This window comes from Homo sapiens, chromosome 9 (genome assembly GCF_000001405.40).
Source record: "Homo sapiens chromosome 9, GRCh38.p14 Primary Assembly".
NCBI classification, from domain to species: Eukaryota; Metazoa; Chordata; class Mammalia; order Primates; family Hominidae; genus Homo; species Homo sapiens.
The window spans coordinates 129,434,516-129,456,969 of NC_000009.12; the positions used below are offsets into that span (position 1 = coordinate 129,434,516).

At 53.5% G+C, this 22,454-nt stretch overlaps 1 long non-coding RNA gene across 1 annotated transcript, besides 2 other annotated features; it reads left to right on the plus strand.

Moving 5' to 3' along the window:
- Window positions 1,730-2,374: an enhancer, noted in NCBI's record as "H3K4me1 hESC enhancer chr9:132198524-132199168 (GRCh37/hg19 assembly coordinates)". NCBI's record gives its function as "activates a minimal SCP1, AML or CMV promoter by ChIP-STARR-seq in naive H9 embryonic stem cells {active_cell/tissue: H9 hESC(naive)}" and the evidence as "EXISTENCE:reporter gene assay evidence [ECO:0000049][PMID:30033119]".
- Window positions 2,375-3,019: an enhancer, noted in NCBI's record as "H3K4me1 hESC enhancer chr9:132199169-132199813 (GRCh37/hg19 assembly coordinates)". NCBI's record gives its function as "activates a minimal SCP1, AML or CMV promoter by ChIP-STARR-seq in naive H9 embryonic stem cells {active_cell/tissue: H9 hESC(naive)}" and the evidence as "EXISTENCE:reporter gene assay evidence [ECO:0000049][PMID:30033119]".
- On the plus strand, window positions 2,631-13,036 carry LOC105376291 (uncharacterized). The gene is made up of 3 exons (NR_188645.1): window positions 2,631-4,144; window positions 4,248-4,364; window positions 12,257-13,036. It is a non-coding gene; the product is annotated as an uncharacterized LOC105376291 (long non-coding RNA).
- The last annotated feature ends 9,418 nt before the right edge of the window (window positions 13,037-22,454 follow it).

Here is a 22,454-nt window from a genome sequence, read left to right on the forward strand (position 1 = left end):
TGATAGAAGAAGGCCAGTGGGAAGGGGGCTGGAATGCATGTTTGAGAGACTGCACAGTTTACTGGAAAGTCTCAGCTGTGTTCTAATGGTGGCAACCTTCAGAGTCCGTGGCATCTCCCACCCACCCCAGCATCTCCCAGCTGTCCATCATGGGCTGATTCATTTCATCCCACCCTCAAGTCTGTGTGTGGAATCACGGGCTCCCATGACTTACTGTGGTCTTCAGTGCTCAGTTACTTAAGCAGGAATAGGGGGAGCCTGGTTCAGCCCCCAAGCCTGGGCTCCTTCATCTCTCTGGACTAGGCCTGATTTCAGTGATAACAGTGTTGCTTCCCACCTGTCGTTGGGTTTCTGGATCCAAAAGCACCCGGTTTCGAAGTCTGTCTTCAAAGGAAGACCCCCAGATAGAGTTGCCGGATAAAATAGAGGACACCCAATTAAATGTGAGTTTCAGATACACCATGAATGAGTTTGTGCTGTAAGTATTTGCATGGGACATATCGTACTTCAACTAAAATGTCACTGGTTGTTTATTAGAAATGCACATTTAACTGGGTGTCCTGTTTTTTTGTTTTGTTTTGTTTTGGTTTTGGTTTTTTTTTTTTTTTTGGAGATGGAGTCTCCCGCTGTCACCCAGGCTGGAGTGCAGTGGCGCCATCTCAGCTCATTGTAACCTCTGCCTCCCGGGTTCAAGTGATTCTCCTGCCTCAGCATCCCGAGTGGCTGGGATTACAGGTGCGTGCCACCACGCCCAGCTAATTTTTCTATTTTTAGTAGAGATGAGGTTTCACCGTGTCAGCCAGGATGGGCTTGATCTCTTAACTTCGTGATCCGCCCGCCTCGGCCTCCCAGAGTGCTGGGATTGCAGGTGTGAGCCACTGCGCCTGGCCTGGGTGTCCTGTATTTTTATTTGTTCAATCTGGCAACCCCGCCGTCGGAGTCAGCCTCGGAACTGAAACAGCTGAACTGAACCGCTGTGCAGAGAGTGCTGCTCCTGGGTTGGGCTGCACAACACTGGCATTCTGACAGGCCAAAGCAGTTACATATCAGCACTTACATACAGTCCAGCCTCATCATTTTCACATAAAGAACAAATGGGGCTCCTGCCACAGCTCAGCCTTTTGGAGACAGAATGGGGTAAACGGCAGGGGGATTGAATCCTCACTCCATCTCTTCCCAGCTAGGAGATCTTGGGCCAGTCACTTTCCCTCTCTGAGCCTCACTTTTTTCTCACCTGTAAAGTGGGTGTGGTCACAGTGAGGACTCCTCGAGGCCTGCATGTCCAGAGCAGAACCGAGCCAGGCAAACAGAACCAGCGTCATCGTTATCCCTGTGACTTTCTGCAAACTCCAGCCTGCCCTGCCTGTCTCCTGCAGGCGGCTACCTCTGGGCAGGTGCAGGTTTCAGGGTGCATATGGAGGGGAAGTGATGGTGGGGGTACCCCGTGTTTGCAGAGCTGGCGGGAGACCACGGCATTCCTATGGCCCATGTCCCCTCACCCCCGCCCCCCTGCCCCAGCGCTGCTGAACCTCGACGTGTGTGTCTGAAGGTCTCCATCCGTGCCTCTCCAGACGTTGCCCACCTTCCCCTTTGCTGGGCAGTTTGTGTAACGCGGCCAGCAGGCACCGCGAGGCCTTGCTTCCTCACCTCTCGCCCGCTGTCGGAGCTCCATGAGTTGAGCTTGACTGTCCGGGGAGTGGAGCCACCTCTAGCAGGTACTTGGGTGTACCTGTTATCACCCATCTGTCAGCTGCCGCTAGACAGCAGAGGGAGCCCAGCATGGGGGAGAGAGGGGACACTCAGAGGGTTGTCTGAGCAGAGGTGGTTCTTTCAGAATCAGAGGAAGGTTGTTGGGTCCTACTCCTTCCCCCCAAACCCCTCAGAGCGAGGATCCTGACCGTCCCTCTTTCTAGCTGCGTGACCCTGGTTGAGTGGGCTCCTCACAGGTGAGGTTCAAGGAGGGGCGGGGCGTCTTGCCTGGAGGTCTCCCAGATGGGGAATCCAAGCCCTAAAAAGGCATAATAACTCGGAGCTGTGTTTCCACCCCGACCCCGCCCCCCGCTCCCCGCAGAGTACTGAGCCGGAAAGGAAGGAGGGAGACTGAGGCAGCTCGGAGTCACTGTAGTGGGTGTGAGGAGTGCACTGAGCCCTGTGGGGAGGAACGAGGGAGGACACAGCTGGCGGGTGCCTCAGAGCCGCCCCCCACGCTAGGCTGCCTTCAGGCAGCCCCTGCAAACTGTGAACCCAGAAAAGCCTCTCTCTTCCTGGCCCCCTCCTCTCCTTCCTCTCATCCCCCCAACTTTGCAGCCTTCCCTGGCTTCCTCCTTTCATTGGAGAACAGGCAGACGCTCACCAGGGCCGGGTGTTCACGTGTGTGCATATGTGCCAGTGTGCACACGTATGCGTGCTCCCATAACATGCATGTTTTTCTGAGGGTGTGTGCACGCGTGCGTGTGTGCATCGTGCGGTGTGCGTTAGGTGCACACGTGCATGCGTGTGCCTTATGTTGTGCGTGTGAGTGTGTGTGTGTGTGCGCGCGCGCGCGTGCCTGACCGCGGCGTGCGTGCCGGCGGGAGGAGGGGGCGCCGAGGCCGGGCAGGGGATTTAAAGCTGCTTTCGCGGCTGCCGGCGTGAGCGCTCGTGATAAACAGCCCGGAGCCGAGCCGCCGCGCAGCCGGGCGGGAGGCTGCGTATCAGAGCTCCTGGCAGGCTCGCAAAAAGCTGTCCCCGGCCCGCCGCCGCTCTATCAGCCCACGGAGGGAGGGCGGCGGGGGAGGGAGGGAAAAAGTATTTGCTTCAGCCCTTAATCACGGAATTTGAAATCCCAGCGAGTCGGTGCCATTTATTTTCAGAGGCTGTCAAGGCTGGTTTCAGCATTTAAAAGAAAGGAGGATAAAACGCATTTGCATTTCTCCCCCACTCTCGCTGCGCGCTCGCCGGCGCTCCCCCTCGTTCCCTGCGCAGCTCGCGGGTCGGGCGTTGGCGGGGAGGGGGAGGCCAGAGGCTTTTCAAGGCGCTGGGGGCTCCGGCCGGCCCGGTGGGGGCCTCCCCCCGCCAGAGTCAGGGGTGTCGGGCGATTCCGGGGTGGGGGCCCGAGTCTGGTCCAGCGGGGCTCTGGGTGGCAGAGGGGGGAAGGTTAAGCGGGGCTGCTGGCTTGGGGAATTTGGGGCCGTCCGCGGGGCTCTCCTCGGGCTCCAAGCTTTCACCCCAGAAAACAGCCCTGAACCCCAAATTTGCTCCAGCCCCAGGGGGCCCTACCTGCCCTTCCTGGCTTCCCCAGTGGAAATCTAAGGTACTGGAGGCTTCCAGGGGAGCCAGGGCACCCCTAGGACAACCCCCTCTCTCTGCAGATGGGGAAACTGAGGCCTGGAAACAGAGAACGGTGGGACCAAGGTCACATGATGGCGGAAGGAGGACAAGGAAGGAGGCTGACTGCGTATCCAGCACGTGTTCCGTGCCAAGCCTGTGCAGGGGCCAAGGACCGGGGTCTCTGGACAGCGCCGGTTGCTGGGTCCCACGCTGGGCGACAGGGCCTTTGCAATCAGGCCGACAGGGTTTGAACCCTTGCCGCGGCACTTTCCAGATGGCCTTGGCCACTGTCCCCTCTCTGACCTTCAGATGGAGCCCATGGCACCTCCGGAGGGGGTGTGTGCTTCCAGGACCAAATCCACTTGTGCGTGGTTAGGCACGAGGTGGGGGGAGGCGGCTCAGCCACCGGGACCTGTCCTGCCTCCACCCTCTGTGCAACCCCTTTCCTTGCCTTTTGTCTCTGTTGCTTTTGGGGGGTGATTAGCCGCTAGCTCAGCGGCTAGAGGATTCTCTCCCGGAAAAGGCTCCGGAGTTGAGGCCCAGACCCCCAGGGCAAGACGGAATCTGCTCCCCAGGGCACTAACTGAGACTCGGTTCCCTCACTGGTAAAATGAGAAAACTCACTTATGGTCAGGGGTCCCCGAGTTAATGCCAGTGAATTCCTTGGCAGAGCATCAAGCACTTGGAGAAGCCCCCACCCCCGGTCATTGTGATGATGGTTTGTTTGTTTGTTTGTTTGTTTTGAGACGGAGTCTCGCTCTGTCGCCCAGGCTGGAGTGCAGTGGCGCGATCTCGGCTCACTGCAAGCTCTGCCTCCCGGGTTCACGCCATTCAGGTGATGATGTTTTTTATTTATGTGCCCACCTGCCCCACTCCGTAGGGCCCCTCGAGGCCAGGACTGCACCGTTCATCTCGGAATTCGCTTGTTCCTAACTTAGGGGAGTGGCGCCGAGACACCGTGTAGCGCCCATGCCAAGGAGGAAGCGAGACAGCAGGAGCGGAGGAAAGAACCCCGGGCTGTGTTGAGGAAGCCTCCTACTTTTGCCTGAAGTGAGGTTGTTGTTGTTGTTGTTGTTGTTTTTTCCACGTGCCTTATTCATCCACGTAACCTCAGCCTCTAGTGCAGCGTCCTATTTTTTGGCTTGTATTATTATTTTTAATTGGCACATAATAATTGTACATATTTATGGGATGCAGTGTAATATTTTAGTACACATATACAATGTGTATTGGTCAAATCAGGGTAATTAGCACATTCAGGGTTGGAGTTTTTCTGTCAATACAGATACTTATAGAAACTTTTTTTTGTGTGAGATAGGGTCTTGCTCTCTTGCCCAGGCTGGAGTGCAGTTGCATGATCACAGCTCAAGCCATCCTCCCACCTCAGCCTCCCGAGCAGCTGGGACTACAGGCACAGGCCACCAAACCCGGCGAATTTTTTATTTCTTCTAGATATAGAGTCTCACTATGTTGCCCAGGCTGGTGTCAAACTCCTGGGTGCAAGTGGTTCTACCACCTTGGCCTCCCAAAGTGCTGGGATTACAGGTGGAAGCCACCACGCTTCCCTAAAAATGCCAGTCAATATTATATGTCCTGTTTGGCAATTTATTGCACCTCATTATTTTTCCTGGCTGCGTAGTATTCCATTGTGCACATGTACCTGTATGTGGTTATCCAATCCCCAGAGGATGGGCACATAGGTTGTGTCTCGTTTTGTCCTCTGACCTCAGGGCTGCAGAGAACAGGCTGGCCTCATACAGCAGGCATCATTATTGGTGTCAGTGGGGCCCCTGTTCTGATAGTCACAGAGAGGCACGGGTGGCTGTGGGAAGCTCTATCCCCTTTCATAGGGAAAGGCAGTTTAGGGCTCTGGAAAGCCAGGGCTGGGAGGGAAATGGCGTCAGGGAAACCAGCATAGAAGTCCCTATCTGGCCATCTTGGCGGAACCCAAAGCCTCGAGTCCACAGTGGGCACCTGACTCAGCAGGGAGGAGGGTGGGAGGCCTAGAGCTTTGTGGCAAGGCAGGCAGGGCTTTCCTTCTTGATTCCTTCCTTCCTTCCTTCCTTCCTTCCTTCCTTCCTTCCTTCCTTCCTCCCTCCCTCCCTCCCTCCCTTTTCTTTTCTTTTCCTTTTCTTTCTTTCTTCTTTCTTTCTTTTCTTTCTTTCTTTCCTTCTTTCTTTCTTTCTTTCTTTCTTTCTCTCTTTTTCTTTCTCTCTCTCTCTCTTTCTTTCTTTTTTTTCTTTTTTTTTTTTGAGACAGAGTCTTGCTTTGTTAACCCAGGCTGATGTGTAGTGGTGTGATCTCGGCTCACTGCACCCTTCACCTCCCAGGTTCAAGCGATTATCCGGCCTCAGCCTCCCAAGTAGCTGGGACTACAGGTGTGCACCAGCACAGCCAGATAATTTTTGTATTTTTAGGAGAGATGGGATTTCGCCATGTTGGCCAGGCTGGCCTCAAACTCCTGGCCTCAAGTGATCCACCCACCTCGGCTCCCAAAGTGCTGGGATGACAGGTGTGAGCCTCCGCGCGTGGCCTCCTTCTTGATTCTGTTGTTTGTGCCTCAAAGGGAATATTCAGAGTGTGGCTCATGAAGTCTGGCCAACCTCCATCGGTTTGCAAGCTCTGGCACCTCGGAGCCTCCGTTTCCCAATCTATAATAAGAGGACAGTAATGGCACCCACCTCACAGGGCAGCTGTGAGGGCTCCATGAGGGAGTCCAGGCAAAGCCTTTCAGCGAGTTTCCTGAAATGCTGTGAGGTCTCAGGGAAGGCTTGCCATCGTCATTATTGTTTCTAACGACATTTTCAGAAATCTGAATGTAAAAAGACCTTCTCTGAGTTGGGTGTCAAAACCAGAAAAAGTCTGTGGTGGGATGTGTGTGTGTGTGTTTCCTTCTCACACTGTCCCTTGCACGTGGGCCCGGGCCCCTGCCTGGTTCTCTCTTTCTCACTATCTGGGACCCCCTAGACTAAATCCATCTCTCCAAGAATCACTGTCTTGCCCCCTCTGTCCTTCTGAGACCTGGGTGGCCTGGGGGGAGAAGCGCCCACCCCCCAACCCCGTCCGCACCACCACTTTCCCATCCAGCCCCACCCTCAGCCTCCTTAATACAGGCTCACCTGGGGCCTCAGTGCCCAGTCCTCCCAGCGCCCGCCCCAGCTGCACTTGAGTCCTGGATCTATCATCAGCCCTTGCTGTGGGAAGTGGCTTTAACCTCCCTGGGCCTCAGTTTCTCTATCTGTAAAATGAGGAGCATAATAAAAAGAACATAAGGTTTTTCTGCCCCCTGCCCACCCCTGCTGAAACAAACAAGCAGACAAGAAATTCATAACCCCCCAGAGGCACTTAGAGCCTGGGAGATTCAGCCGCAAAGGAGTGATCACAGGGTCACAGGGTCCTGGGATGCACAAGGCTCCTTCTCTCCCTTTCCTCCAGGAGGAGTTGGATTTACTTCTGTAAACCCCTGCCCTCCCTTGACCCTGTGCACTCTGGGGAGCACCTAGATTTGCAGGCACGGTGGAGGCAGAGCTGAGCTGAAAGGTGGGGTGTGGGCTCCCCCAGAGCAAGCTCTTCCGGCACCCTGGTGGGATGTGCAGCTGCATTGCTGGCTCAAGACGCCCCCACACCCAACTAGGATCTTTTTTTTTTGAGACGGAGTTTCTCCCAGGCTGAAGTGCAATTGGCGCGATCTCAACTCACCGCAACCTCCGCCTCCCAGGTTCAAGCGATTCTCCTGCCTCAGCTTTCCATGTACCTGGGATTACAGACATGCACCACCATGCCTGGCTAATTTTTGTATTTTTAGTTAAGACAGGGTTTTGCCGTGTTGGCCAGGCTGGTCTCGAACTCCTGACCTCAGGTAATCCACCTGCCTCGGCCTCCCAAAGTGCTGGGATTACAGGCGTGAGCCACCGCGCCTGGCCTCAACTCAGATCTTTAACTCCACTACCATTTGTGAGTGTTCCGCGTGGGCTACATCCTAGGCCAAGGATTTTCTCACCCTGGCCTCAAGAAGATGGAACGGGGCAAGACCTGAGAAGCATGTAGACCTTCAGGATTTTCTCAGTCTGTCAGTTAATCTTGTTTATGATCGATGAGCAAGTCTCTCTCCCTCTCAAAGCCTCAGTTTTCTTACCTATAAAATGGGGCTACATGAGGAGTCAATGAGCTAAGGGTGTGAAGCTGCTGGCACAAAGCCCCACACACGTAAGCCTTAACCAGTGCCAGCCGGATGATAGATGGTGCCGTTGTGCCCAGCAATTCCTTCTCCTAAGCAGGTTATACCATCCTGTCCCCAGAACGTCCTTCCACGCCCTCTGACGAGGCTTGGCCATGTGACTTACTCTGGCCAGTGAAATGTGAGCAGAAGTGACCACACATCAGTGGCCAGCAGAAGCTTTAAAAGCTACACCTGTAGTCCTAGCTACTTGGGAAACTGAGGTGGGAGGATTACCTGAGTTCAGGAGTTCGAGGCTGCAGTGAGCTATGATTTTGCCACTGCACTCCAGCCTGGGTGACAGAGTAAGACCCTGTCTCAAAAAAAAAAAAAAAAAAAGGCTGGGCACAGTGGCTCACGCCTGTAATCCCAGCACTTTGGGAGGCCGAGGCAGGTGGATCACCTGAGGTCAGGAGTTCGACACCAGCCTGGTCAACATGATGAAACTCCGTCTCTACTAAAAATACAAAAAAAAAAAAAAATTAGCTGGGCGTGGTGGCCTGCGCCTGTAATTCCAGCCACTCAGGAGGCTGAAGCAGGAGAATCACTTGAACCCAGAAGGTGGAGGTTGCAGTGAGCCGAGATCGCACCATTGCACTCCAGCCTGGGCAACAAGAATGAAACTCTGTCTCAAAAAAAAAAAAAAAAAAAAAAAAGAGGCGATTTGACCCAGACATGTTCAGAGGGAAGATGACATGGAGACCCCGGGGAGAAATCAACCATCCATAAACCAACGTGGGAGGCCTGGAACAGATCCTTCCCTACGGCGCTCATGAGGAACCAACCTGCTGACACCTTGATCTTGGATTCCCAGCCTCCCAAACTGTGAAACAATGTGTTTCTGTGTTTCAGCCACCCAGGACTTTGTGACCACAGCCCTAGCAAACGAATACGCCGCATTTCACAGGGCCCTACAGACAGGAGATGGGATCTAAGGGAATTAACCTACTTGCAAGCAGAAATGAAAGGGAAAGAGAAAATCCAGAAATGTTGGATTTGCAGGATTGAAAAAGGCAACTATTCCTCATCTCGGTCCAATGAAAGAGCAACTAAGTGAGTGCTCCAGGCGCCCAGTGCCCAAAGGTCCATAGTCCGTGGGAGGATCCAGACACTGTCACGTGCAGGAGGCCACCTGTGCTGCAGGAGGCTGAGCTTGGGTGCTGTGCCCCCAGCTGGGAGAAGGCTGGGGTGGGCCAGGGAAGCTGTGCTTGGGCACGAACCACTTATCCCCGAGTTGGAAAAAGGTGCGATCCAATTCTCCACCCCATCCTGCCAGTTCATCACCCAGACAACCTAGAGTGAGCACCCAGGGCCATTTTTGGAAAATCCTGCTCTTTTGCATAATAAGTGGGCAAAACAGACACAGTCCCTGCCCCTCTGGCAGTTTGTCGCTTCTGCAAGACTCAAGTGCCAAATGACATTTTAGAAAAAATTTCTGACATATTTGTGCTTGGAACACACAATATGATCTTGGAGCAGATAAGAGTTTTAAATTTAACTTTGTCTGTCCCCAGAAATGTATTGTTTGAGAAGTCTAATTGTGAATTTTAAGCTTTCTTTCTTCTTCTTCTTCTTCCTTTTCTTTTCTTTTCTTTTTTTTTTTTTTTGAGACAGGGTCTTACTCTGTCACCCAGGCTGGAATGCAGTGACGATCCCAGCTCACTGCAGCCTTGACCTCCTGGGCTTAAGCAATCCTCCTTCCTCAGCCTCCTGAGTAGCTGGGACCACAGGCATGTGCCACCATGCCCAGCTAATTATGAATTTTAAACTTTCTGTGAAGACTCTTTAAAATGGATACTCTACAAATAGTCAATAAAGAATATTCTGGGCTTAAGAAAATAATAATAATAAAACTAAGAAACACTCTGTGTGATAGAGCCCAGTTAAGACTCAGTCTCAGGGTAAAGATCATACCAAGGGTGTGGCCATCACGCCCTTTGTTGAAACCTCAGAAAAGCTTGCAGGCCCACAGTTCTGTCTAGAAAGCCATGTCTAGAAGAAAGTTAGGTGTGTCTTTTTTTTTTTTTTTGAGACAGAGTTTCGCTCTGTCGCCCAGGCTGGAGTGCAATGGTGCGATCTCAGCTCACGGCAACCTCCGCCTCCCGGGTTCAAGTGATTCTCCTGCCTCAGCCTCCCGAGTAGCTGGGGTTACAGGCATGCGCCACCATGCCCGGCTAATTTTGTATTTTTAGTAGAGACAGGGTTTCTCCATGTTGGCCAGGCTGGTCCTGAACTCCCAACCTCAGGTGATCCTTCCACCTTGGCCTCCCAAAGTGCTGGAATTACAGGCGTGAGCCACCGCACCCGGCCTTGGGTGTATCTTTGGCAAAAAGAGCTGAGTGACAACAATTGGGCAAAAGTTACAAAGTTTTAAAGAGGGTGGCACTGTCCGCAGAGCTGTCAGCTGGATTAAAAGAGACTGTGACCGTCAACAACACAAAACCACTTCTGGGCGCCAACGGGGAAGCAGCCCGAGGAAGCTGCTCAGCCCCCAGGGAAACCCTCTTCTCCAGGGTCCTCATCCCGTGTGGTCAAGGAGGTTATAGAAAAGGAGGCCTCCCAGAGGACGGCCCAAGGGCAGGAGAACAGGGGAGTCGGGAGTAATTTCCAGAGAGCACCATGGGGCCTGGTCGAGGGGTTTCTTTCCCCAGGGCAGGTGGCACTTGCCGAATCCACCCAGCAGGACTCAGAACTCATGAGGACCAGCACTTGCTACTGCTCCACCCCTCTCCTTTCTTTTTTTTAAATTTTGTTTTTGTTGTTGTTGTTGCTTGTTTGTTTGTTTGACACGGAGTCTCACTCTGTCACCCAGGCTAGAGGGCAGTGGCACAGTCTCGGCTCACTGCAGCCTCTGCCTCCTGGGTTCAAGCGATTCTCCTGCCTCAGCCTCCTGAGTAGCTGGGATTACAGGTGCCCACCACCACGCCCAGCTAATTTTTGTATTTTTAGTAGAGATGGGGTTTCACCATGTTGGCCAGGCTGGTCTTGAACTCCTGACCTCAGGTGATCCACCCGCCTCAGCCTCCCAAAGTGCTGGGATTACAGGTGTGAACCACCACGCCCGGCCCTTTTTTAACTTTTAAGACAGAGTTTTGCTCTGTCGCCCAGGCTGGAATACAGTGGTGTGATGACAGTTCATTGCAGCTTCAACCTCCCAGCTCAGGTGATCCTCCTGCCTCAGCCTCCTGAGTAGCTGGGACTACAGGCATGAACCACCATGCCTGGCTAATTTTTGTATTGTTTTGTAGAGACGGGGTCTTGCTATGTTGCCCAGGCTGGTCTTAAACTCCTGGGCTCAAGCGACCCCCGCACCTTGGCCTCCCCAAATGCTGGGGTTACAGGTGTGAGCCACCACACCGCCTCTATTCTTCTCTTCTCTTCTCTCCTCTTCTCTTTCCTTCCTTCCTTCCTTCCTTCCTTCCTTCCTTCCTTCCTTCCTTCCTTCCTTCCTTCCTCCTTCCTTCCTTCCTTTCTCTTTTCTCTCTCTCTCTCTTTCTTTCTTTTTTCTTTGCTCTCACTGTATCACCCAGGCTGGAGTGCAGTGGTGCAATCTTGGCTCACTGCAGCCTCCACTTCCTGAGTTCAAGCAATTCTCATGCCTCAGCCTCCCAAGTAGCTGGGATTACAGGTGCATGCAACCATGCCTGGCTAATTTTTGTATTTTTAGTAGAGATGGGTTTCGCCATGTTGTCCAGGCTGGTCTTGAACTCCTGGCCTCAAGTGATCCGCCCACCTCAGCCTCCCAAAGTGCTGGGACTACAGGCGTGAGCCATTGCGCCCAGTCTTGTTCTTCTCCTTTCCAACGGAGAGCGTTTGTGGGTCATCCTATTCCACCATTGTATGTTGAGTGTATTACTTTGCCGGGGCCACCATAACGAGATACCACATACTGGGTGTCTTGAATAATAAAAATGTATTTTCTCACAGCTTTGGGGGCTGGAAGTCCAAGATCAAGGTGCCAGCAGGGCTGGTTTCTTCCAAGGCCCTCCCTCCCTGGCTCGCCTGTGTCCTCAGGTGGCCTCCTGCCTGTGCACACCTGCCTGACGCCTCAGTCTGTGAGTCCACATTTCCTTCTTATAAGGACACTAGACACATTGGATTAAGGCCCACCCTGACGACTTCATTTTAATTGAATTGCCACTTTAAAGATTTTATCTCCAGCCAGGCACAGTGGCCCACGCCTGTAATCCCAGCACTTTGGGAGGCCAAGGAAGGCAGATCCTTTGAGGTCAGAAGTTCCAGACCAGCCTGGCCAACATGGTGAAACCCCCTCTCCACTAAAAATACAAAAAAACTAGCCCACGCTAAAAAATTACAAAAAATTTGAAGATCATTTGAGGTCAGAAGTTCAAGACCAACCTGGCCAACATGGTGAAACCCGGTCTCTACTAAAATACAAAAATAGTAGTCCAAGCTAAAAAATTAGCATGCAACACCACGCCTCTCATCCCAGCTACTCGGGAGGCTGAGGCACAAGAATCTCTTGAACCCGGGAAACAGAGGTTGCAGCAAGCTGAGATCGCATCACCGCACTCCAGCCTGAGCAACGACAGAGTGAGACTCTGTCTCAAAAAAAAAAAAAAAAAAAGATATTATCTCCAAATACATTACTTTGTAAAGTACTGAAGGTGGGGGCTTCAACATATGAATTTGGGTGGGGAGACAATTCAACTCATAACAGTGTGTGAGATCAGAAAATTCCTCCTGCTCCCCCCGCCACCCCATTTACAGGTCTCCTATAGAGAGAAGCGTTGACTGGGGACACTCGCTGCTTGCGTTTTGCTGGTAGCTGGGCTGGAAGGTCCACAAAGGTTCACTTCATGTGAGTGGCACCTCAGGGCTCTTCCACAGGCCCTTCTCTCCATGCAGCTCTCTTGGGCTTCCTCACAGCATGGCGGGGTTTTTCACGGTGGCTGGCTTCCAAGAGGAAGCACTTCAAGCTGGGTGAGAGCAGATGCCTCAAATCTCTGCAGCCTCAGCCTCGGAAGTCACACAGCGTCGCTTCTGCTGCATCCTGTTGATGAAAGCCAGTCCTGGAGTCAGCCCAGATCCAAGGGGAGGAGGAAAAGACTCCAGGTCTTGCTGAGAGTAATGACTAAGAATCTGCAGCCATCTCCAATCCACCACGCCCATGCAAGAGACGGGAGTGATATTTGCAACCAAGATGGTGAACGGCAGCAGATTGGTCACTGTTTCCAGTTATTCACCATCCCCTCAGTGAGAGGATTATCCATCCTGCCCCATTGCTACGTGACATGCAGAGCATCCAGTGCTGGGTACACTTCCCCTCCCCACCAAATCATGTTTGGCCACGTGACTTGCGTTAGCCAGTGAATCCGGAGCCCAAGTCCTAGCAGGCCATTCAAAAGAGAAGCTTCAAGAGCCATCACGTGGGTTGGCCAGCCTGCCTGCACTTTTCCCTTTAAACAGAGCTGCGTTTTCTAGAGAGAGGCCTCACACAAGCCTCCCTGTTCCACAGAATACAAATCCAATTGGTAAGTCTTCTATCCATCTTAAGAAACCTTTACATTTTTAAATCTCTCCATTCTCAAATATTCAAAGCCCTTAAATTCATTTATTTTTCTAGAAGTAACACCTGACAAGTTTGATATGTCAAGGCACCACCCGTTCCTTCTTAATCCACAGGAACTCATTGAGGGTAGGGAACCTGGGAGGTCACCACAGCCTGTAAATCCAAGCCTGGATGTAGTGAGTGTCTGGGGTGGCCAGGCTTTCTGCAGGTATGTGCACATTGAAGGCCAAATCTCAGCTTTGAACTGAGTCCCGAGCTTAGGACTCCTCCTGACTCTCTTCTGGGAACACTGTGGCTCAGAGAGGTTAAGTGAGTTGCCCAAGGCCACTCAGGTAGTAAGTGGCAGGGCCAAGACTGGACCCCAGGGCCATCTTGCTCCAAAGTTCCTAACCACTAGACTCTCCAGCTCTCACCCTGTACGTGGGCTATAGATATTTGGTTTTATTTTATTTTTTAATTTTATTTTGAGACAGGGTCTCTCTCTGTCATCCAGGCTGGAGTGCAGCGGCACAATCATGGCTCACTGCAGCCTCGACCTCCCTGGGCTCAGGTGATCCTCCTACCTCAGCCTCCCGAGTAGCTGGGACCACAGGTGCACGCTACCACATCCGGCTAATTTTTGCTTTTTTTTTTTTTTTTTTTTTTTGAGACGGAGTCTCGCTCTGTCGCCCAGGCTGGAGTGCAAAGGCACAATCTCAGCTCACTGCAAACTTTGCCTCCGGGGTTTAAGCTATTCTCCTGTCTCAGCCTCCTGAGTAGCTGGGATTACAGGCATGCACCACCACACTCAGCTAATTTTGTATTTTTAGTAGAGACAGAGTTTCTCCATATTGGTCAGGCTGGTCTCGAACTTCTGACCTCAGGTGATTTGCCCTCCTCAGCATCCCAAAGTGCTGGGATTACAGGCGTGAGCCACCGTGCCCAGCCATTTTTGCATTTTTTTTTTTTTTGTAGTAATGAGCTTTTGCCATCTTGCCTAGGCTGGTCTCAAACTGCTAGGCTTAATCGACCTGCCCACCTCAGCCTCCCAAATGCTGGGATTGCAGGCGTGAGCCATGGTGCTGGCCCTAGATATTTGTTAAGTGGATGAATAAACTACCCAGTAGTTCCTTTGGAAACCTGAAAGGTTTTGGATGCAGTGATAGAGGTGTTCCAATCTCAAGGATTGGCTAAAAGCTATAGGAACTTGGGGTGGGGTAGGATACACTGAATGGGGTCCACTCTCTCCCCAACAATTCCTCCTCTGCCCTCAGAGGAGAATCTGGTGTTTGTAATGCAGAATCTGGAGAATGTGTCAAAATGATAGTGACACTGACATTTACTGAGCGATTGCAATGCCCAGCCCCCAGCCTCAGAGCCCTCCCTAATTTTACTCCTTTACACTTTCTCAGGGATGTGGTGAGGTTACAGACCATCATTATTCCCATTTCACTAGTGAGAAAACTGAGGCACACAGTAGGCTGAATCCGTGCTTCCCAAACTATCTGTGATGAAGGAACTTCGAGAAAAAATGTTCCAATCTGTCAGGAATGATATTTTTATAATATACACAGTCACAATGGGATGTAGGCAGTGTCAAATTGCTATGAAAGTTGCTAAATGCTTATCCTCAGTTCTATAGTTAGCGTGTCGTGTCCACAAACAGTGTGTGGCCCAGCACTGATCCTCGGACCGCGCCTTGGGTAGCGCGGGGTCAAGTCACAGCGTGTGACTCGCGGGGCCAGGATTTGGACCCAGAGGGTCTCGCTCCAGAGCGTGGGCTCTGAACCACTCACCAGAGGGGCATGGATCATGAGGACGGGCGGGGAAGGGTCTGCCCACTGAACACATTACATAACAAATATTCGAGGGAGAAGGGGAGAATGCAGGCTGGTGTCAGGACTGTCAGGCAGCCTCCAGCATGCGCAAAACAACAGCCAGTCTAATGGAGAGAACCGGAGCAAGGAAACGGGCGCTGGTGAGAGCTGTTGCTGTGGGGTTTGAATTCGGCCCCTTTGAGGCTCTTCGGGAGTCACAAGGACATTCAGAAAGTTCGTTTAAATGACTTGTGACTGCTGGATTATCAGGTCCCAGGAGGCAGCGACTGAACTACATGGAAGCCCAGCTTTTATTTGGGTTACACGGGCACCAGTCTGGGTTTCCACACATCTCTCTCCACTCCCAAATAAGTTATTTATGCTTATTTTATCACTTTTTTTTTTTCTTGAGATGGAGTCTTGTTCTGTCACCCAGGCTGGAGTGCAGTGGTGCCATCTCAGCTCACTCCAACCTCCGCCTCCCGAGTTCAAACGATTCTCCTACCTCAGCCTCCTGGGTAGCTGGGATTACAGGCGCACGCCAACACATCCGGCTAATTTCTGTATTTTTAGTAGAGACAGGATTTCACCATGTTGGCCAGGATGGTCTCGAACTCCTGACCTCATGATCCGCCCACCTCGGCCTACCAAAGTACTGGGATTACAGGCATGAGCCACCGAATCTGGCCATTTTTTTTTCTTTTTTTTTTTGAGATAGGGTCTCACTCTGTCACCCAGGCAGGAGGCCAATGGCACAATCTCAGCTCACTGCAGCCTCGACTTCCCAAGCTCAGGCAATCCTCCCACCTCAGCCTCTTGAGTAGCTGTGACTACAGGCACACAACACCACGCCCAGCTAATTATTTTTGTATTTTTAGTAGAGACAAGTTCTCGCCTTGTTTTCCAGGTTGGTTTCGAACTCCTGGGCTCAAGTGATCCACCCGCCTCAGTCTCCCAAAGTGTTGGAATTACAGATGTGAGCCAATGTGCCCAGTCCCCTCCCAAAGAATTTAAAACACCACTAAATGGTTACCTCCTGAGGGTTCAGTGAATACTCCTTGGGTTAGTGAAGAATGAATACACAGATAAGTGATCAGCCATAAAGTCATCTTCCATGTCCACTGTGTGCAAGGCTCGAAGCAAATGTCAGATACAGAGGACCAGGAGGAGACCCAACCCCTCCAAATACCAAAGGGGGCCAACCAAAGAGGGTCATCGATAAGGGATGGGATTAACAGTGGTTGTATTAGGCCGGGTGCGATGGCTCATGTCTGTAATCCCAGCACTTTGGGAGGCCAAGGCGGGTGGATTGCCTGAGGCCAGGAGTTCGAGACCAGCCTGGCTAACATGGCAAAACCTCGTCTCTAATATAAAAAAAAAAAGAGTGAGTGGTTATATTTTCTTCATTGGATTCATCTATATTTTCTACAATATCTACAATAGGCATGCATTACTTATGTAATAACAATGAGATTCTTTTGGCAAAAATAAAACAGTTCCCACTTTAAGCCTGCCCCTAATTCAGCTGAAGAAAAGACGGTTGGCCCATTGAGGGTAAGGATACCACAGACAAAGGTGCTCAATAAATGTCTGGGTTACATTTTAGTCACGCACCAGGAGCAGAAAGGAGGAAGAGGCCTTTTTGAGAAGGGTTCCTTTTCTTTGTCTCTTTCTCTATCTCCTGCCCCTGCCGGTGCCGCCACCCCTAGTGTGGAAGCTCGCTGTGGACAAGGTCAGACTGCCTGGGGCTATTCCCTCCACTGGGGCAGGGTCTGTGACAGCCGCAGTTGCCCCAGGATGGCTGGGCAGGGTCGGCTCCTGCCTGGATGGCTGACGTCTCCTTCCAGTTCTTTGTTCAGTTTCCAGGGGGACCGGGGATGGGGAAAGGCAGGCAGCACAGCCCACGGACCTGCAGGGCCACAGCAGAGAGGCGCTGCTTCACGTCCCCCTGGGCCTCCGTGGCCCTGGCCCTGCACACAGCACGGCTGCCTCCTCCCTCCGACTTATTTCCGGTCACCTGGCTGGTGGGTCCCTCGGGGCAGAGCGCAGGGTCCCCAGCTTTGCTCCTCGCTCTCCTCCCAGCTCCTGCCTCTCCTCTTTCTGGCTGCCTCAGTGGCTGCTCAAGGTCAAGGAACAAACAGATAAACCCTTTCTCTGGAGCCGGCTTGGAGAGGACGCCTCCAGCTACAATCCAATTCTGAGTCAGGGCCAGGGCTCTCTCTTTCCTGTGAATGTGAAGACAGGAAGGAAATTTTCGCAGCCATAAAATCGGTAAAAATGTTTTGTAGGCAGAGAAGAGGCCAAGCAGTTGGCTTTGGTTTAAGGCACAAACAGCAAACGGGAACGGTCAGACCCAGGGAGGGAGGGCCTGGGGGGTAAACTCTAATATTCAGGCAGCCAGTGCAAGATTTTTTGTTGCCCCAGGGCCAGTCAGGTGTTGGACGTGGTGTGGAGGACACGGACTTGGTTCCCAGCTCACGGGGACGGGATGATGTGGGGGTCTGACCAGGCAGTTGAAGACTCGGGACTCTTCTAGGCTGTTAGCCAAGATGGCCCAGGGGCAGGAGCCAGGACTGTGGATTCAGAGACGCAGTGTGGACGGCAATGAACTGGATGGCTCTCATGTCTTAGAGGGATGAACCTGGAGCCCAGAGGAGTGGACATGGGCCAGCCTGGGAAGGGTCATTCAGGCTGTGGCGGGGATTTAGGACTTTATCCAGAGGGCAGCGGGAGGCATGACAATGGAGAGGGGGACGTGGCCCAGCTTATGTGTTAGAAAGACTCCTCTGACTGCACTGTGTGTGTGGCCTGGAGGCAGGAAGGGCAGAGAGAAGGCGGCTGCCATTCCCGCCGATGTAGGTGACCAGGCAGGGCGAGGATGGTGGAGAGTCCAGGTGTGCTGCGGGCAGAATCATTAGATGCTGGTGACTGGATATGGCGGGGTGCTGGGGAGAGAGGAAGGGGATAAGGCCAATACTCAGGAGCCCCAAGAGGAAGAAGAGGAGGAGGAGGCTTTAGGGGGAGGTTTCATATTTTTTGTGTTTTTGTTTGTTGATTTGTTTTTATAGAGAGACAGGTTCTCACTTTGTTGCCCAGGCTGGTCTCAAACTCCTGGCCTCAAGCAATCCTCCCACCTTAGCCTCCCAAAGTGCTGAGATTACAGGCATGAGTTACCGTGCCTGGCCACCTGTATTTTTTATCTCTTGAATATTTGGGGGGCTCTGGCCAAGTACATGGGGCAGGACACCAAGAAGGATAAGGCACAGCCCTGCCCAAAGAAGCTGGAATGCACACACGGCAACAGAAAGCTTGCAGGGGTGGAACTGCAGGTTTTAACTATGAGCATATTGGGAGTTCAAAGGATTGGGAAGCCTGGAGGGACGTGGGGGACAGGCCTGTTTGGAAGGGCCGGTGGTAAACAGCCAGAGGACGAGGACCTGGCCTTCTGTACCTTCCACGTTCCCTTCTCGCTTGGCCCTGCTCCATGCCGGGCAGGTGGTCCCAGCTCCACGGCCTGGCCCTGCTGCCCACTCCAGCCTAAGTAGCGTCTCCTGTGCTCTGGTGGGCCACCCGCTCTGAAGTGACTGCCAGAATGCAACTGGATGGCCCTCAAGAGGCCTCTTGCCTCCTGTCCTCTGTTGGGAATACCTTCTCTTCCTCTCTAGCCTAGGAGCCTCCGACTCATTCTCCTGTCTCAGCGTAGGTTTCTTCCTCCTAAAAGCCTTTCCTAGCCCCGAAACTGGGCTGAGTGCACCTCTCCTGTGCTGAAGAAATGTTCTTTGGATGGAAGGATGGAAGGATGAAGGGACAGAGGGATGCGGAGATGGAGGGATGGAGTATGGAGGGATGGGGGATGAGGAGATGGGGGATGGGGATGAAGGGATGGAGGGATGGGGATGAGAGATGGAGGGATGGGAGGATGGGGGATGGAGGGATGGGAGAATGGGGGATGGAGGGATGGAGGGATGGGGGATGGAGGGATGGAGGGGTGGAAGAGGGGGGATGGGGGATAGAGGGATGGAGGGATGGAGTAGAGGGATGGGGATGGAGTGTGGAGGGATGGGGGATGAGGAGATGGGGATGGGGGATGGAAGGGTGAGAGGGTAGAGGGATGGGGAATGGAAATATGAGGGATAGGGATGGAGGGTGGGGGATGGAGGGATAGGGGGATGGGAGATGGAGGGATGGTGGATGGAGGATGGGGGACTGGAAGATGAAGGGATGGGGGATGGGGGATTGGAGGATGGGATGGAGGGATTGGGGGATGGCAGATGGAGGGATGGGGGATGGGAAGATAGGGAATGGAGGGATGAGGGATGAAGGGATCAGGGGATGGAGAGATGGGGAATGGAGGGATGGGGGATGGGAAGATGGAGAGATGGGGAATGGAGGGATGGGGGATGGGAAGATGGAGGGATGGGGGATGGGGATTGGAGGATGGAAGATAGAGGGATGGAGGGATCAGGGTATGGAAGGATGGGGGATGGGGGATGGAGGGATGGAGGATGGGAAATGGAGGGATGGGGATGTATGGTGAATGGATGAATTAATGGATGGATGGATAGGGGGATGACTGGAGATCTAGACAGACAGGCAGTTGATGGATGGAAGGGCAGACAGGCAAGTTGGGCAGGTGGAAGGGCAGGGGAGGAGTGGACTGGACAGAGGAAAGGGCAGGTGGTTGGTGGTGGAGGTGGAGGTGGTGGGTGGAGGTGGTGGAGGTGGTGGGTGGAGGTGGTGGAGGTGGTGGAGGTGGTGGGTGGTGGGTGGTGGAGGTGGTGGGTGGAGGTGGTGGAGGTGGTGGGTGGTGGGTGGTGGGTGGTGGAGGTGGTGGAGGTGGTGGGTGGAGGTGGTGGAGGTGGTGGAGGTGGTGGGTGGTGGAGGTGGTGGGTGGTGGGTGGTGGAGGTGGTGGGTGGTGGAGGTGGTGGGTGGTGGAGATGGTGGGTGGAGGTGGTGGAGGTGGTGGTGGGTGGTGGAGGTGGTGGGTGAAGGTGGTGGGTGGTGGAGGTGGTGGATGGTGGGGGTGGTGGGTGGTGGAGGTGGTGGGTGGTGGAGGTGGTGGATGGTGGGGGTGGTGGGTGGTGGAGGTGGTGGAGGTGGTGGGTGGTGGAGGTGGTGGGTGGTGGAGGTGGTGGAGGTGGAGGTGGTGGAGGTGGAGGTGGTGGAGACGGTGGGTGGAGGTGGTGGGTGGAGGAGGTGGTGGGTGGTGGAGGTGGGTGGAGGAGGTGGTGTGTGGCAGTGGTGGGTGGTGGAGGCGGTGGGTGGCGGAGGTGGAGGTGGTGGATGGCAGTGGTGGGTGGAGGTGGTGGGTGGCAGAGGTGGCAGTGGTGGGTGGTGGAGGTAGTGGGTGGCAGGGTGGATGAATGGAAAGGAGACAAGGTTGGCTCAGGCAGGCTGAGGTTTGCCCTATCTCTCCATCCCCCCACCATGGATTGGCAGAATGAGTAGGAATCTTTCTCTCCTGACTCCTCCTCAGACCCCTCAGCTTCCTCAGGGCACACCCTACACTGGATGGGACCCACTGGGCACTGCAGCCGGAGATGTAACTGGCACCAGGAACCTCCCTCCATCTTATCCGTGTCCCACAACTCTTCACCCGTGGGTGTCTTTTTGCCGACTGGTCTGATTACTGGCGAGAACCTGGTGTTTGGGGATGAAAGAAGTTCAGGTCTCCTCTACACATCCATTTTCTTCCTTCGTCCTTTCTCACCTTCTGCCTCCTCCTCCTCCTCCCATGTCTTTCCAGCAAAGCACAGGATACCCAGATGGCTTGGGCCAGGTTGAAGGCACAGCCATAGCCAGCAACCAGCCACCCGAGCCCTGCTGCCTTCGGCCCCAGCTGGCCCAGCCAGCGCGGGTCCCTGCTGCCTGGTGCCCACCCCACCCACCCGGCAGCTCCGATTTTCAGCTTGGGTTTGATCGGCTGCCAGGATCTCCCAAATGTCAGCTGCAACGTTAGCATCTTTAAGAGAGCGCCCGAGGCGATCTTTAAGCTGGGAGGCTGGGGCCCCATGCTGATGAGAGGAGTCTGCTCTGAGCTGACAGCTCTGCCTCCTGCCTCCCCAGCCTCGGTTCTGGGAGCCTGTGGCCCCCACTCCTTCAGGCTGGACGGCAGCAGGACTCTTTTTTGAGCCTGGGTGAAGCAGGGCTTTGCCAGCTGAGATCAGTCCCTACAGCAGCCCGCACCAGGGAGCCCCAAGGAGGAGGGGAGAGGCCTAACCCAGAGAGGGAGTGGATGCATATTTGTTAACTGAATGGCTGCATGAACCTCCAAAGCTGCCTTAGAGGCGAGTGCTGATGGCACTTTCTGCCCTGCCATCACCTTCAGGGGGAGATGCTCAGGGTGGGGACACAGGCAAAGGTGCCAAACTCTGGAGTCAGACCGAGGGGCCGGGGCTGGTGTCCCAGATCTAGCCTGTGGGAGCTGTGTGACCTTGGAGAAGTTGCCGGCCCTCTCTGAGCCTCAGCTTCCCCATCGGTGAAGCGTGTGTGCTAGGGGATAGAATGCCAGCTGCATAGAGTTGTTGGGGAATCCAGTGAGATGAAGAGATGGGAACACCTGCTACCTTGCAGACACATAGTAAGTACTCAAGGAAGTCAGTCCCTTCCTCTTCCCCCCTCCCTTCCCTCTCCTCCCCTGCCCTTCCTTCTCCTCCCCCAGGGCTTTCTATGCCCTGTCACTGAAGGGCTGAAGCGCTCTCACTGTTTAAAGCCTCCATGTTTTCCCTTCCAACCCTCAGAAGGACAGGAGCGATTATTCTTATTCTGTTGTCAAGGGCCACACAGCAGGTTGGAAGCAGATGTGGAGGCTGCCCAGTTCCAGACCAGCTTGTCCTGCTAGTGCCTGGTCCCAGGACTGGCTCAGGTGCCCATGGCATGCTCCCCTGTGCCCTGATAATCGATGTCCTTTTGCAGGGTGGTGAGGCTCTGAGAGTGAGCTAGTGGCTTGTTCTTTTTCCACATTTTTGAGGCCTCTATCTTGGGGCTGAAATACCCAGGTGGAGAAGTGAGTGACTCCGGAAAGGAAGGAAAGAAAAGAACCCAGAGTCTAATTCCCACCCAAGTGGAGGTGAGGCGGGAAGAAGGGGGGCTTGACCCTCTTACGTGGGAGTTGCAGCCTTGGTGGGACCTGTCAGAACTGGTGTGCTAAGCCAGGGGTGGGAGTCAGTGACTTCCACAGGGACAGTATCAGCAGTCAGCTCACAGAAGCATATGTTTCAGAACCAAAAGGTGTAGGAGCAAGGCTCAGAATAAAAATAAAATGAATGGATGGTGGGCAGTGGTAGGTGGATGGATGGAAACATGCGTGGATTGAGAATGGGTGAATGGGTGATGGTTGGCTGGATGGATGGATGATGGATGGGTGGGTGAATGGAGGGTGGATGGCTGTATGAGTGGGTGGTGAGTGGATGAGTGTGTGGAAGGGTGAGTGCATAGATAGGTGGATGGATGGGTAGATGGATGGATGGATGAGTAGATGGGTGGATGGATGGATGGACGGATGGATGGATGAGTGGAGGGATATGGGTGGGTGGTGAGTAGATGAATGTGTGGATGGGTGGGTACATAGACAGATGGTTGAATGGATGGATGGTGGAT